The 15721-nt window shown below is 34.0% G+C and overlaps 1 protein-coding gene across 13 annotated transcripts in view, besides 1 other annotated feature; it reads right to left on the bottom strand.

Moving 5' to 3' along the window:
- The window catches only part of NBEA (neurobeachin), a 730467-nt gene that overhangs the window by 312701 nt on the left and 402045 nt on the right, over positions 1 to 15721 (bottom strand). For all 13 annotated transcript variants that reach the window (XM_047430271.1, NM_001385012.1, XM_006719803.4 and 10 more), the window contains 2 exons: positions 10820 to 10928; positions 7713 to 7879 (listed from right to left, as the gene is read on the bottom strand). In XM_047430271.1, the coding sequence (XP_047286227.1) occupies positions 7713 to 7879; positions 10820 to 10928 (276 nt within the window). The remainder of the gene's footprint in view (positions 1 to 7712; positions 7880 to 10819; positions 10929 to 15721) is intronic.
- Positions 10070 to 10364: an enhancer, noted in NCBI's record as "tiled region #14424; HepG2 Activating non-DNase unmatched - State 5:Enh, and K562 Activating non-DNase unmatched - State 9:DNaseU". NCBI's record gives its function as "activates a minimal TATA promoter and a strong SV40 promoter by Sharpr-MPRA in HepG2 and K562 cells {active_cell/tissue: HepG2 | K562}" and the evidence as "EXISTENCE:reporter gene assay evidence [ECO:0000049][PMID:27701403]".

The following is a 15721-nucleotide window of genomic DNA, read 5'->3' as shown; positions in this document are numbered from 1 at the left end:
ACCCGTAAAATAGAAAAAATAATGTCTTCCTTACAGTTGTTAGGATGAAAATAAGACATTCCAATGGAAGTATCAACATAGTTACCGTCAATACATAGGTGTGCTCCCAACATCTTACCAGAAAACTAAACAATAGTAATGATTATTTGAAAATGAATAATAAAAACTGAGATCTCACACACACACACACACACACACACACATACACACACACACACCTATTAAACTCAAGGGGCTATTAAACCCTGTTCACTGAAATTTAGGCTGTATGGCTTACGTAGTTTAAGCAATAGGAAATATCCAAAAAGCTAAAATAAACAAAGAAAAACTATATACATTGAGCATTATTTAACAACACTGAATCTGGAAATATGCATGTTAAAGGATCTCTCATAGCTTTTCCTCAACACAGAAATAAAGATCAATATTATTAATTCAAATGCTAAAGTATGTTAGAACCGACCCCACCACTGAATCCAAAGATAGATGTAAAAGAGATTTTATGTTATAACTAAACTATTTTTTTGGTAGAATAGCAAGTAGAAAATTAGAGGGATGAAATTCCTTCATATTGAACATATATTTGAGAACAGGGATATAACAACAATTAGTATTCAATTCCTATGCTTAGGAAGCTACAAGTATGTTGAAAGAGACAGGCACATTCACATGGCTATAAAACATTAAGTGATATATCACAGTTAATTTCAATACAGATAACAACAACAAAATATGGGGAAGCAGTGTTAAAAAAGATAAGAGAAAGCCAAGGGATGCTATAGAAAAAGGTGACATTTGAACTCAGCTATAAATAAGGTGACTATATTTTCCTATTTATCCTGCATATGTGTCTTCACATAACAGCCAGACTGATGTTGTTAAAACATAAATCAGATCATGTTATTCTCCTGTTCAAATACTTCTTTGCTTTTCATGCTACTTAGGATAAAGTCACAAATCCTTAACGTGATTGAACAGGACTTTAAATCATCTGGCTCATGTTATTCTCCAGCCTCCTCTCAAGCCACTACTCCCAATATTCACTAAGCTCCAAACTACCCTCCTTTTTGTTCATTCTGTTTTTCAAGCCCAGAGTCTTTGTAATATTTCTTTTCTGAATGATTCACACACCACCCTTTGCTAAAGACGCGCTACTCATCTTTTTACTTAAACAGAGCTTCTTCAAACAAGTCTTTCCTCACTCCCTAATCTAAAATAAAGCTCCTCTGTTTTATGTGCTCCTTCAAAGTACTTGGCACTTTTCTATCCTATCATTTGCCAAAGTTTTATATCTTTTATTTCCATAATTTTTTTTTTTGAGACAGAGTCTTGCTGTGTTGCCCAGGCTGGAGTGCACTGGCACAATCTCGGCTCACTGCAACCTCTGCCTCCCAGGTTCAAGTGATTCTCCTGTTTCAGACTCCCGAGTAGCTGGGATTACAGGCACACGCCACCATGCCCAGCTAATTTTTATATTTTTAGTAGAGACAGGGTTTCACCATGTTGGCCAGGCTGATCTTGAACTCCTAACCTCAAAGTAATCTGCCCACCTCAGCCTCCCAAAGTGCTGGGATTACAGGTTTGAGCCACCTTGCCTGGCCTGTTTCTATAATTATTAATTCAATATCAATCTCTTCTACTAGACTATAAGCTCAGTTGGGGAGAAAGTATATCTGTTTTGCACAAATAGAAGCTCAAGAATTATTTGTTGAGGCCAGGTGTGTTGACTCACTCCTATAACCCCAGTACTGTGGGAGGTTGAGGCGGGCAGATCACTTGAGGTCGGGAGTTCAAGACCAGCCTGGCCAACATGGTGAAACCCCGCCTCTACCAAAAATATAAAAAAATTAGCTGGGTGTGGTGGTGCGTGCCTGTAATCCCAGCTACTCAGGAGGCTGAGGCAAGAGAATTACTTGAACCCGGGAGGTGGAGGTTGCAGTGAGCCGAGATCGTGCCACTGAACTTCAGCCTGGGTGACAGCGTGAGACTCCATCTCAATTGAAAAAAAGAATTATCTGTTGATAAAACAAATAAAATCAACATATTACAACTATATATTAGAAGTTAAGGAGTGATTAAGCAGACAGAAAATATTTTTAAAAGGGTCTTTGCAAAGAGCAGACTAACAGAAAAAAGAAGAGACTACTAATAAGCATTGGATATCTATTGTGTCTGACATTATATTAAGCATTTTGCACACAGTATTTCAATTTTTCATAGTAACGTAACTCAATTTAGTAGAAACTATTCATCCCATTTTCTGAATGAGAAAAGGTGAACATCAGGAAGGTAAAATCTTTGTTCAAAAGACATGAAATCAACAAAAATGGCCATAAATGATAGACTCTATAAAGAAAATATGGTACATATACATGATGGAATACTATGCAGCCATAACAAAAAATGATATCCTTTCCTTTGCAGGGACATGGATGGAGCTGGGGGCCATTATCCTTAGCAAACTAACACAGGAACAGAAAACCAAATCCCACGTGTTCTCACTTACAAGTGGGAGCTAAATGATGAGAACACATGGACATATAGAGGGGAACAACACACACTGGGGCCTATGACAGGGTGGAGGGTAGGAGGAGGGAGAAGATCAGGAAAAATAACTAACAGATACTAGGCTTAATTCCTGGGTGATGAAATAATCTATATAACAAACCCCCACACGTGTTCCTATGTAACAAACCTGCACATGTATCACTGAACTTAAAAGTTAAAAAAAAAACAACAAAAAAGAAAAACAAAAAAACCTCTCTGTTCGAGATTACACAGCTTACAAGTCATACAGCTAGTAAGTAATTGAGCTCTTAATGTTGATTATAAAGCTCAAATTCTATGTGGAAAGTATCAAAACTAGCTTACATGCTATCTACACAAGTGCCATGATACATGTGTATGGAAATTTTCATGGATTCATGAATTTTTAAATTATGTGTTGAACAATTATTATATGCAGAGTTCTATGCACTGGGTACACACCAGTAAATGAAAGTCCATAATATCAGGTAAAAAAATAGTTAAACAGTAAATTATATGCCAAGTGATAGGTGCTATGAAGATTAAAGCTTAGAAAATTTAGGGAGTGATGAAGGGAAAAATGTGGTGTGCAATTTTTGATAGAAAGGTCAGAGAAATCCACTCTAATGAGGAAACACTTGTGCAAAGACCTATCTGAGTATATCATGCAGAAGGAACAGCATACAAAAGGAGGAAGTGCTTGGCCTGTATACAAAACAGACAGAGGCCAGGGTGGCTGTGGTGGAGTGAGCCATGGGCTGAGAAGATGCATGGCAGGATGTGAGGTCAGACGTAATGGTGAAACACAAGAGATCAAAAGAATAGAGTTCATAGAAGACTGTCAAATACAGTTTAGAAGTTCAGTAGGATGAACTCCAAACAAAAAATCAACGGTCACTCTAATATGGAAGAATATTTTTCAGTTACTCCTAAGTATGACATAAATATTCTTACATGCACAATTGTATTAATCCCATTGGATTAGCAATGGAAAATATGGCCACATATTTTTCTTGCATTTACAAGTTGAAAGCATCATTCTGTAGTAGAAACGTACACTGTATAATATATAGAAGTTGATAATTTATACAAAAACCAAATCTGTAACATTCACAGAATAAACAGCATTCAAAAGCAACTTTTGCTGTTGAAATATTTTCCTGTCTTTTTGAGGAACTTGTGACTCCAGTTAGAATATATAAACTTTTCTATGTAAAATGTTACTGGATTTGTGAACACCTGTTTTAGAGTGTTGCTGGCTCTAACACTTTGGTTTCATGCAGGGATAAGTACTTTTTGGCATTTTATAAAGTTAAATAAAATATAAAATTATTCCCAATGGACTAGTTTATTTTCTATTATTCCATGATAGGTATCATTACTGAAAAAAGGGCATACACCAAGTGTTTATTCATTAATTTATTCACAAATTTTTTGGTACCTACTATGCATCAGGGCTTATTCTAGGTGCTGGGGATACAATTATGGATAAAAGAGCAAAGAATCTATTACATTATGAAGCTTACATGCTATTGGAAAACAAAACAATAAAAATAATATATAAGTAAAATATATGAAATTTTAGTATCAAAGTAATAGATGTTGAAAAGTGGGGAAATGCAATATAAAATATTTGGAGGAAGAGTAAAATTTTAGACAGAGTGGCTAGAGAATGATTTTTTTTTTGAGATGGTATCATTTGGAATTAAGGCCTGAAGAAAATGAAAAAGTTTGACCAATGAACTTTTTGGGAAAGCATTCTAAACAGAGCAAACATGACCTGCAAGAAAGAAGCCAGGGTGACTAGAACAAAAAGAACCAAGGGGAGAGTATTGGCAGAGGAGGTTGAAGAGTTAACAAACAAAGACTAAACCATGTAGGGCCTAATAAGTCACTATGAGATCTTATTTTCCCCCTCAGTGAATGCTAAACCTCTGCAGCAAGCGTTCAAAAGAACTTTCTGCAATGACGGAAAGGTTCTGTGATAACTACTATGGTAGCCACCAGCCACATGTGGCTACCGAGTACTTGAAATTTGGCTAGTGCAACTGAGGCATCACGTTTTTCATTAAATTAAATTTTAATTAATTAAATTTGAATAGCCACACATGACTAGTGGTTACAGTCTGGCATAGTACAGCTGTGGAGGTTTCTAAGCATAGGAGCAGAGGGATCTACATTTTAATAAGAGTCACTCAGGCTGTTGCGCTGAGAATGGACTTTAGGAGGACAGGGGAAAAATATAAAAAGAAAGACTATATATCATGCTGGTACAATAAGTCAAGTGAAATATAAAAATAAGACTATATATCATGCTGGTACAATAAGTCAAGTGAGAATGATGTGGCTTGGACTAAGGTGATCCAAGGTAATGGTGAGAAGCAGTCGAAGCTGGATATATTTTGTGGCAGTGTCAGTAAGATTTGCTGAAGGGCTCAATGTGGGATGTGTAAACAGTAGTCAAGGACAGAGCAACATTTATGGCCTCAGAAACAGTAAGAATGGAGTTGCCTTTGGCTGAGATGGAGAAAAATATAAGAGAAACTGGTTTGGAAGAAAATATTAGAAGCTTAGTTTTCATATGTTAGGTGTGAGGTGACTATCAGCTAATCAATTAGAAGATACCAAGTGGGCAGATGAATATACAGACCTGGCGACGGGAGAGATCTGGACTTGGAATAATAAATTTTGGAGTTATCAACATATTAGTAGTATTTTTAAATCATGGGACTAGATAAAATTGTCTAGAGAGTGAATAAGATAGAAAAGAGAAGAGGTCCAATGACTGAGCCCTATTAGTTAATCAAATACTAAGGAGAATTAAACAGAACAAAACCTATGCTTAAAGGTTTAGAGTTCAGTGACACAGTTAGTAAATGATCATAAAAATATTGTGGTTTTTTTTTCAGATAGTTGGCAGTAGAAACTAATGTGCAAGGAAAGAAGACACCTGCTCTTCTGAGGGCTCAGGCCATGCTTTCTGTCAGTCTAATGAGATGTCAGAAAGGTTGTTGACTAGCTAGCACAGGACGCATCTGACATGTTACCACATGACTGCTGCTATGGAGGTCACTGTCCTTTAGCTGTATTCTAATTACATAAGGAAATAATTAAAACCCAAACCATGTACTGCTTTATACAGCTAAGGCAATATCCTGAATCATACCAGCTGCGTTACTAGCAATATAATGTTACAGTCCTGACTACATATAAGTAAGTATTAATAGATAAACCCAATTCAGCTGACACAAAAAGGGAGACAAGGTCTGTAGATGGGTAAAATGCTCAGGTTATTGTTAGTGTGTTTCATGGTTAAATTTTATGTCAACCTGGCTAGGCTATAATGCCCAGTTGTTTGGTCAAACATTAGTCTAACTGTTGCTGTGGAGGTATTTTGTAGATATGATTAACATCTACAGTCAGTTAACTTTAAGTAAAGGATATTACCCTCAAGAATGTGGGAAAGGCTCATCCAATCAACCGAAGGCCTTAGCAAAAGCTGAGGTTTCCCGGAGAAGAAGAAATTCTGCCTCAAGACTGTAACACAGAAATCTTGCCGGAGTTTCTAGCCTGCCAGCCTGTCCTACAGATTTCAGACTTACCAGCTCCCATGATTGAATGAATAAATTCCTTAAAATAAATTTAGTTAATGAATATAAATATCTCTGGAGCATCCTGACTGATATAATCTGCCTCTATTTGTACAAGCAGTGTGATACTATGTAAGTTTTATTTAACCTCTTTCAGCTTTAGGTTCTTCCCGGTAAAATGGAGAATACCTCAATGTCACCCTTAATAAAGATGTTCAAGGATAAAGGAAATAATCCATGTAAAGTTCTTAGTATGGTCCCTCGCACACAACAAATAATAAATGTTAGAGGCCATGGGTTATTGCTATTATTATGATAAATATTAAATGCTGACTATTTTAAAGACACATGTTATAATTTTACCTTAAATCCAAAATTAATAAAGTTTTAAAAAACCTATCTTACACTCATAATCCCAGGAAGTTGGTTAAATACCATCCTACTCATATTCTAGGTGTTTTTCTCTAACAGAATCTTTTTTTTTTGAGACAAAGTCTCACTCTGTCACCCAGGCTGGAGTTCTGTGGCACAATCTCGGCTCACTGCAACCTCTGCCTCCTGGGTTCAAGCAATTCTTGTGCCTCAGCCTCCTGAGTAGCTAGGATTACAGGTGCCCGCCACCACGCCTGGCTAATTTTTGTGTTTTAGTAGAGATGGAGTTTCACCATGTTGGCCAGGCTGGTCTCAAACTCCTGACCTCAGGTGATCCAGCAGCCTTGGCCTCCCAAAGTGCTGGGATTACAGGCGTGAGCCATCGCACCAGGTCAACAGAATCATTTTTACCAAGGCTCTTCTTAGTAGTATCCCGTTTACATTTCACCAGCCAACTTTGTCAAACAGATTTAATAAACTCTGCCAAACACAGACTTAATAAAAACATTTAGTGGGGTCAAAAAACATAATATAAAAAGGAAGAACATCAGCAATCTAAATATAGTGACCTGTTTCACTTCTAGTTTTCCAGAAAACTTCATTGTATAGATAACAACAACAACAACAACAACAATAATTGTATGTCCACAAAACTTTAGGGAGAACATTTGTGATTTATAAACAACCAAATTTTGGTTTTAGTTGTACTATATTATCATAAACAATCATATTTGAGATGAAAATCTTCCCTTGGTAAGACTGAATAGAAAATTATGAAAGAAAACTTTTTAAAAGAACATATTATTTCTCTGTAGTATATGCTTATATATGCTTCTGTATAAAAAAGAATGATATAAATTTAATAAGTAGGAAGAGTTGACTCTAAAAGATTCTTTTTTAAAAAGAGCCACTTCTCATACCTAAACATCCATGTTACATATGAGAGACAGTAGACTAAAATACTTGCCTAACCATATTTTGTATTATGTTGCATATTATTATAAAGTAGAAATAACTTCCACTGTAGCTACTATAAAAAGTTTAGGTTTTCCCTTAAACTCTTCTGATGAAGAATTATTAAAGATTTCAGGAAAATTTTCAAGTAATTTTTTATATTTTAAATTATATTTTCTAAATGACTTTTAAATTTGTAGCCATATTTTTATTACCAACTATTATAATTAACCTATGAATTATTATTTACTCGAATTTATTATAACTCACCTATGAGAAACTGCTCCCCAAGCACCATGTTTATTTGTGAGAATATTGAGAATCTTCTGTTTCAGCTGATTTGCTGTTACATGATCTCGATGTTTAGCAGCACTGATAAGATGGTCACACATCTTTTCTTCCTCTCTTCTATCAGCAGCATATTGGGCACACTGTGACTATAAAGAAATACAAATGATGCATAATAATAAACTTTTTACTGCATATAAGTAAGGATGATATACATTTAAGTTAAACGGTAACAGGAATTCAACTTTTTAAAACTCAAATAATGTAATCTTTTGATATTTTGTTCTAAAGAATACATATAGTCACCTTTCAAATATAAAAATGTGCTCTTTCTAAAGTATATGTAAAATAATTTGAATAATATTGAAGTAATTAAAGACTCATGGTTTCTTCCAATTCTGAGAATCTAATTTTCATGTATTTTAGAAGCACAAATATTTACTATAAATGTAAACCTACTTGTTTATCAAGCCAATATAGTATATCTCACTTAAAATAAGAGGTATGTTCCTGATAATTACATATGAATCAAAAATCTGTCATTTAATTTATATTTTCCATTTCATGAATGGTAATGTGATACAGAAGAAAATGTGGTCATTTAGGAATTCAGTAGACCTAGATTTTAATTCACAAAATATGCAAACTCCATATATTTTAATGTACTCAGTTTCATATTTGTAAATGAGGAGCTGAGACAAGATTTTTTTCTATGATCCCTCCATATTCTTAAAATGTAATGTGTTCAAAGGGTTTCATGAGAACTACTACCTTATTCTTACCTTCCTTTTCCCATAATTATCAGTTGTCATGTCAGCTATCTGACATGTATTCATTCTTACATTTGTTAGCAACACTGCTATCAATGGATCATTTTTTGTATTAAAAATATTTAATGTAAACATAAAGAGAAATATTTCTTTAATTATAAATTTGATTCTTGTTATTGTAGTTTTTATACAGAAAACTACAATAAATATACAGAGTGGTGTGACTATAACTTTTAACATTAATAAATGTGTAATACAAGTAATATAACTAGGAAGAAAAAAGTCTCATACATCTGATAAAATAAATAGAAGTAGTTCACATTCATCATTACTATGCAAAAATCTATTTCATGGAAGGTACTTGAACATATTCCTCTCATTTATCTATTGATATACACTACTACCACAAGTAATCTCTTCTGGAGAAATAACCCTACAGTAATCTAAGAAGGATTAATTCATTTTCCAATTTATCTTTTTGTACAGGGAATCACCAATTAGTACAACGATCTGCCTCAGTAATGAGGTTAATATTTCATTAGCTCATTGGAGAGTAAAATTAAATTTTCATTTTTCTTCCTTAACAACTACAGTAGTTAACTAAAAAAACTTAACTGTGAAGTACCCATCTAAAATCAAATATACTTTTCTTCCTAATTATAGGCTGATATGGGGGATAGAAAAATTCCTCAAAAAGTTCTAGCAAAATGTCATGACTTGTAAAATCTTTTACAATTTAAAAGGGATATCTTTGTGTAAACTACACACACACACACACACACACACACACACACACACACACACACATCAATAGCTCTAACCCAAAAAGGAGAGATATAAACATTTCAGGTTAAAAAAATAAGGTACAATCATCAAATAACACTGGCAATATAATCAAAATTACATTTACATTAATATTATATTTTATGTTTATAAAATCTAAAAAACACTAAGTCTTCATGTTTCCTTGGAAACCTCTTATCACCTTGGGAAGATGACCCACAACGAGAGTAATCTCATTCCTAAGAGTGAAAAATTGGTGTGTGTCGGGTGGGGGATAAAAATATTGTTATTTCAGTACATAAAACACAAATGTATGTAAGTACAAAAACAGATACACAGCCTATGGGTGGTATTATAAAATTTCTTTGGGATGAGAGGCCAATTAGGCAAAATGTCTAAAAGGACTCCTTAGGGAATCAATAACAACAATAAAAAAGGTTGAGAAACACTGCCCTTGGCTTAATGTCACCTTGGTTAAACATGTTAAAGCTCATAACTAATATCTAGCCACTTGAAAATCTATTTTAAATGTTTTCACATGACAAATATTGATCTGCTTATATCCTCACAAATTATCTTGATTTTCTTAGTGGAAATACAAGAGACTCAAAACTGATCCTGCAGGGAATTCAGTTGAGATTCCAAATCTTTACTAATACGAAACTTCACTTTGATAAACACTTAAAGATCACTATACTTTTATCGAAGTTTAAAATATCTGGTATCTTTCTCAGAATACGGTTGTTGCAATTTCACAAGACAAGTGGCTGCTTGTCTTGTGCCTCTTCTGACCAAATGAAGCAAAGGTCATGTGTTTGAAAGCGATAGTGGCTATTTTCCTGTCTCATGCTTTTCAGCCAGCTAGGTCAGAGATCACTAGACCTAGTCTATCAACTTGTATGACTCACAGAGCTGCTTTACTGAGATAAAAACCTCATCAAAACTAGAATTGTGGGCTCTGATTTCTAGCTACACCATACTTGTTAGCCTGTTGTATCAGGAGAATAAATTGGTGAGTCATTTATTACTTTCAAGTCCAACTAAGCCAAACAGCAGGGCACATAAATATTTCTCGGACCTATTTTGTCTTGTAAATGGAATAAACTGAAATAATAAATAACTGTTATGTATAAAACAGAAATTGAAAGATTTTTTTGAATCTTATATGAGTTTATTCATATAACTGTATCATATACTCATATCTACCTATTGGTGTGTAAATCTCTGCTAGCTTAAAATAACTAAAATTGTTGCATTATAAATTATTTTTTGCATTTACTCTTGAGTAGGTTAGAATAACTTCAGTCTACCAAATGGTTAGGCATATATAGGGCAGAAGGAATGTTTTCATGCTGTAAATGGGGTGAAAATATATTAGTACTCTGTTTGACATTTACTAAAGCTTTTAAAAAACAGGAACAGAAATGCCTTCAGTGAAATTTTCCTTTTAAAAAAACCTTCTTATGTAAGGTCACAGATAGGTGATTTTTGGCTTATAATAGAAAGGCAGAATTTAGTCTACTCCCAAAACCTTACCTCAAACTCTGCATGTTTATGTACATCCTCGGCTCTTTGTCTGTTCAAAATAAACTCAGCTTCATTTGCAACACGGACTATATGGTCCTTCATAGCATGGCACAGTAATCTAAAAAGAAAAATACCTTTAGAAATATTATTCTTAATAGCTTTGGTCAGTCCAATTTTTTTCAATAATCAGATTTCAGTACTTCAAATATACATAAGTTTTAGATAAAGCTAGATATAAAATTAATATATTTTAAATTATGATTCAGTAAAATGTGAAATATAGAAAGATGTCATAAAACTGTTGCACCAATTCCTCTGTTAAATAGTGTGTCTTGTTAATCAGCAATTCAGTTAATTCAATTAAGATAGGTTCCTCAAAAATAAAAAATTTTGGTTGGAGTGTTTTCAAATGGTTATGCAACAGAAGTCACTATCTTAGAGGTAATTTTTCACAGATAAGTTCAATGACCACACTTTAGGAAATCAACAGACTAGATTCTTACTTTATTTTTATTTTTTTATATTGTACCTCAATAAAATTTTTAAAAATATAGGATGCCCAGTTAAATTTGAATTTCAGATAAACCATGTAGATTCTTACTTTAAATAATGCAGATGATAGGACTAAATGACATCTAAAATTCTTTTAAATGCTGAGATTCCAAATTCTAATATGGAACTACAGTTAAAGTTCAACCATATAGCTGACTTTTTTAACTACAGAAGTTACTTATTTAGGAGATTCGAATTATTTTTAAAATGTGTAGTAACATTTTACAGTGAAAAGCCTCTCACTATGTCCCCTAGTCACCAAATTTTCAACCTCAACAGGTACCCACTGTTATGCCTGGGTGTGTTTCAGAGACTTCTAAAATATATAAATAAAAATACAAATATATTCTTTTCCCACACTTCCTAACACTGATAATTATTAGTACATTATACAGTCTGTTCTTTACCCAGCTTTTCTCACATAGAAATGTATCTTGGACATCTTTTCACATGTACACACAGTGAGCTTCTTCTAACTTCTTTAATAACATGTGGCAGAGATTACTTCCAAAGATGGCTGCAACAACATTTCCCATCCCACATGCTCTTTTGCAGTGTGACTTTGTCATCAAAAAATGGAGACTTTTTCTACTCCTTGTGGATCTGGACTTGCCCTGTGACTTCCTGTGAGCCACAGAATACAGCAGAAGTGATGCTATGTGACTCCTGAGGCTAGGACATAAGATGCCAGGCAGCTTTTGATTTTTTTTGAACTCTCTCTTCTGGAGTCTGTTGCTCCCCTGAGAGAAGCCCACATCACATGGAGCACATTGAAGAGCACAGAATTGCTCGGGCTCTCAGGCCTAAATGAGGTCTCAGCCCAAAGTAAGTCACATTCAGGACACTGCAGACCCAGGCAACTCCACATGGAGCCAGAGAGAACTGCTTAGCTGAGCCCAGGCAATGAGAATCATAAGAAAGAAAAAAACTGATTACTGGTTTAAGCCACATGATGATGATGATCATGGAGGAGATGGAGGAGGAAGAGGAGGAGGAGGAAGAGGAGGGGAAGATAATATTGATTATAATAACTAATATCATTTTGTTTTTCACTGTGTCAATTAAAAACAATGATTTGGCCTTTTTGTGTCTTCTTCAATTTTTTTTGCATTAAGTAATTACTGCATATTAAAAAAAATAATATTTAAAAAGCTACCTTCAAGTCATTCTGGGTTTTCCTTAAAGGGCAAGCTTAAGAAGTGGTTTCAGTTCCTTTGTCTATGTCCTTTTTAAATTTCATTCTAATCCTCATATTCCTTCATTGTCCAGTTTTTCTTTCCGGGGATTTTAAACAGGAGTACTACTTCAATAACAGCATTACTTTTTTTCACTGCTCATTAATGAAATATATCAACTTTTTTTTGCTCAAGTTTTCATAAATATAAATCAGATGGAAATAGGTTTAACTTTGTTTTAATTTCTGTACTTACTAAATACTAAGTCCTAGTAATTCCTCCTATATTCTTCACTATATCATGTCTACCTGTGGCAAACTTTCTTCTTTACTGATACATAAATATAAGCAGAAGAAACAAAATATCATTATGTATTCTGATATTTCTAATTTATTGTTTAAATATAATTTTAAAAGCCTACATATGTCTTTGAGGTGAGTGTGACTATACTGGATTTATTTGTTCTTTCTAATATCAAGGTTGAATTACAAAACATGAAGTTTTAATATCTTCCCACCAAATTACTTGCAATATCTTTGTGGCATCTTCCATAAAAACCGACAGGTGAATGGTTCCTTTATTTTAGGGTGGTAATGTAAATACTGAGCAACACTGAACTCAAGATAGTTCTCAGTAGAAATCCGTCTAAAATCCATGTCTGCTCAGATATAGATTTAATCACTCCTTGATAAGATTTAGGTTAAATAACTACTCTGTCACTCTAGGACCAGTGGGAACGGTTCTGACAATATGACAGCGGCACCAGTAAAATCTTGCATAGCAGCAGGATAGCTGCAGATATTTCCTAGAAGCATGGAGCAGCTATCTCTCCAATCTGTTGAGGGGGACATAGACACATTCTAATGGGAAAGTTGTCCAGTTTTCAGTCTAAAAGTTAACCACAACACAAATTATTAAAAGAATACAAAGGTTATGGAAATCTGTTAGATGTGACAATACTTAGGAAAAAAGATAAAAACTCCTCTGTAAATGACGTTGGAGGGCAAACAAACATACAGTCTTAATCACTGAGGGAAATGGAAAATTAAAAGAAGCTAAAAAAGAACATCACGTAAACTCTGATTATTAACTTTTGATCATATTATCAGCCTACATTTTGTAGAGAGGCTTCAAAAGAGAGAAGAGATGTGATATTAGAATATTTCGTTCAATGGCTTTGTCTAGTGCATGCTGAAGGCTGAAGAAAGCCAGGAAGAAATCTAATATGTGCAAATTAGTGCAAATTACAAAACTTAAATAGATTAACAGGAGACAGCAGGAAGGGAAGGGTACATGGTCTGGCTGGCTAATACATATCATTCCCAGGAGCAAAGCAGTGGATTAGAAAAGCAAAGCAGCATGGCTGTGGGGGTGGAGGCTTTGTAACAAAAGACTCCTGTCCTCAGACACACCAAAGAAATTGTATCAGTTTTTTAGTCTGTTCCCCTATCTTGGGCACTTATGAGTTCTGCCAACTGATCTATGATGTTTTATTTACACGAAGAGAAGGTATCTTTCCATGACTCTTGACACCACTCTGAATGACACCATTATCCACATGGAAAACATTGATCACAGCAGCTCACAATTCTTTGACTGATTAACTCAAAAGATCTTCAAGTCTCCCTTACTTCAGCAAATAAATCCAATGGCCATAAGTAGCTTCATTTCACAAGTCTTTATGCTTTAAGTCTACTCTCAGATCATGATCTCCTATCCTTGCTGCTCTCTTTCCTCTTCTGCTTAATAATTCACTTCCTTTTGCATCCATCTGGGATCCCACAATTCCATGTTTTAACCACTCTCTTGCCAACACCTTCACTTAATTCCTGATCTACCTGCTGCACTGGAGTCAAAGATGTGTGACCCTGGGTTAACACACTGGTCTCCTTTCTCAGTCTTACATCTAGACTGCTAAGGAAAGTAACAAAATGAATTTTCACTGAGGATAAAATCTATATTTCTTTTTCACAGTCAAGTTGTTTTTAACTCAGGTTTTGAGAGGCGACACGAATGTCTTTACTATCCTAAGCTCACTCACTTAAAAATAATAGTATATGTAAATATATAAATAAATAAATAAACCACTCTGCTGCACTTGGTATTTATCAGTCTCTTGCTTCCTTAACAAACCATTTTATCTCACATATGTATATATGCCAAAGCAATATGTTGTTCAGATTGCTTGTGAGTTTTATAAATAAAGCTGCAGGTTTTCTGTAGATATTGTTTTTTAAATTAAAATAGTTCAAAATTCTCTTCTATTCTTAATTTGCTAAGAGTATTCTTTCTAATCATGAACGTTACTGACCTTTACTAGATGTCTGCACCTACTAAGATGATCATAAAAGTTTTCACTTTTAATGTGATAAATGAATGACATTTTTAGAAATTTTTAAAATGATGAACAACTCCTGCATTCATGGGATAAATTTCCCTCATCACCGTCTTCCAGTTTGCCCCACATACACATGTTATCTTTTTATACACAGTTGAATTGAGTTCTGCTAATATTTTAATTAGAACTTACAGATCTATATTCATAAGGGAGATTGGCATGTGATTTTCCTTGTTTGCTCTTATAATTAAGATTACACAGTCCTCAGTGAACAATCTGGAACATTCCCTGTTTCTGATCTCTAGGAGTTTGTAAGTTTGGAACAGAGTTTTACTTGAACATTTGGTAGACTATTCCTGTAAACTATTTGGGCTTAGAGTTTTCTCTACAGGAAGAAATTTTACTGATTAACTTCCTTTCATACTTAAAGAACTATTTAGGGTTTTGTTTCTTCTTTTTCAGTTATAGGAAGCTGTATATTTTCTAGGACATTGCTCATTTCATTTAAATTTGTAATTTTAATGGTATAATGCTTTGATAGCACTCTCATTTTCTTTTCTAATTAGTTTTGGTTATAATTATGTCTCCTTTTCATTCTGTATGTTCACTATTTGTGTTGTTTTATTTTGTTCTTAATCAATCTTAGAAGAGTTTGCTCATTTATTATTAGTTAATGAATAAACATTTATCTTTGTTAATCTTCTCCACTGTATCTTATTTTTCTATTTTGCTGATTTCTGTTAAACTTCTTTATTATTAGCTTTCTTCTACTTTGTGAAGGGGTTCTGTTATTTTCCTAACTTGGACATTTTTTTTTGCAGTTAGAGATTTAGTTCATTAATTTTA

This window comes from Homo sapiens, chromosome 13 (genome assembly GCF_000001405.40).
Source record: "Homo sapiens chromosome 13, GRCh38.p14 Primary Assembly".
NCBI classification, from domain to species: domain Eukaryota; kingdom Metazoa; phylum Chordata; class Mammalia; order Primates; family Hominidae; genus Homo; species Homo sapiens.
The sequence above is the reverse complement of the archived record's forward strand: the minus strand, read 5'-3'. Positions and strand labels throughout refer to the sequence as shown.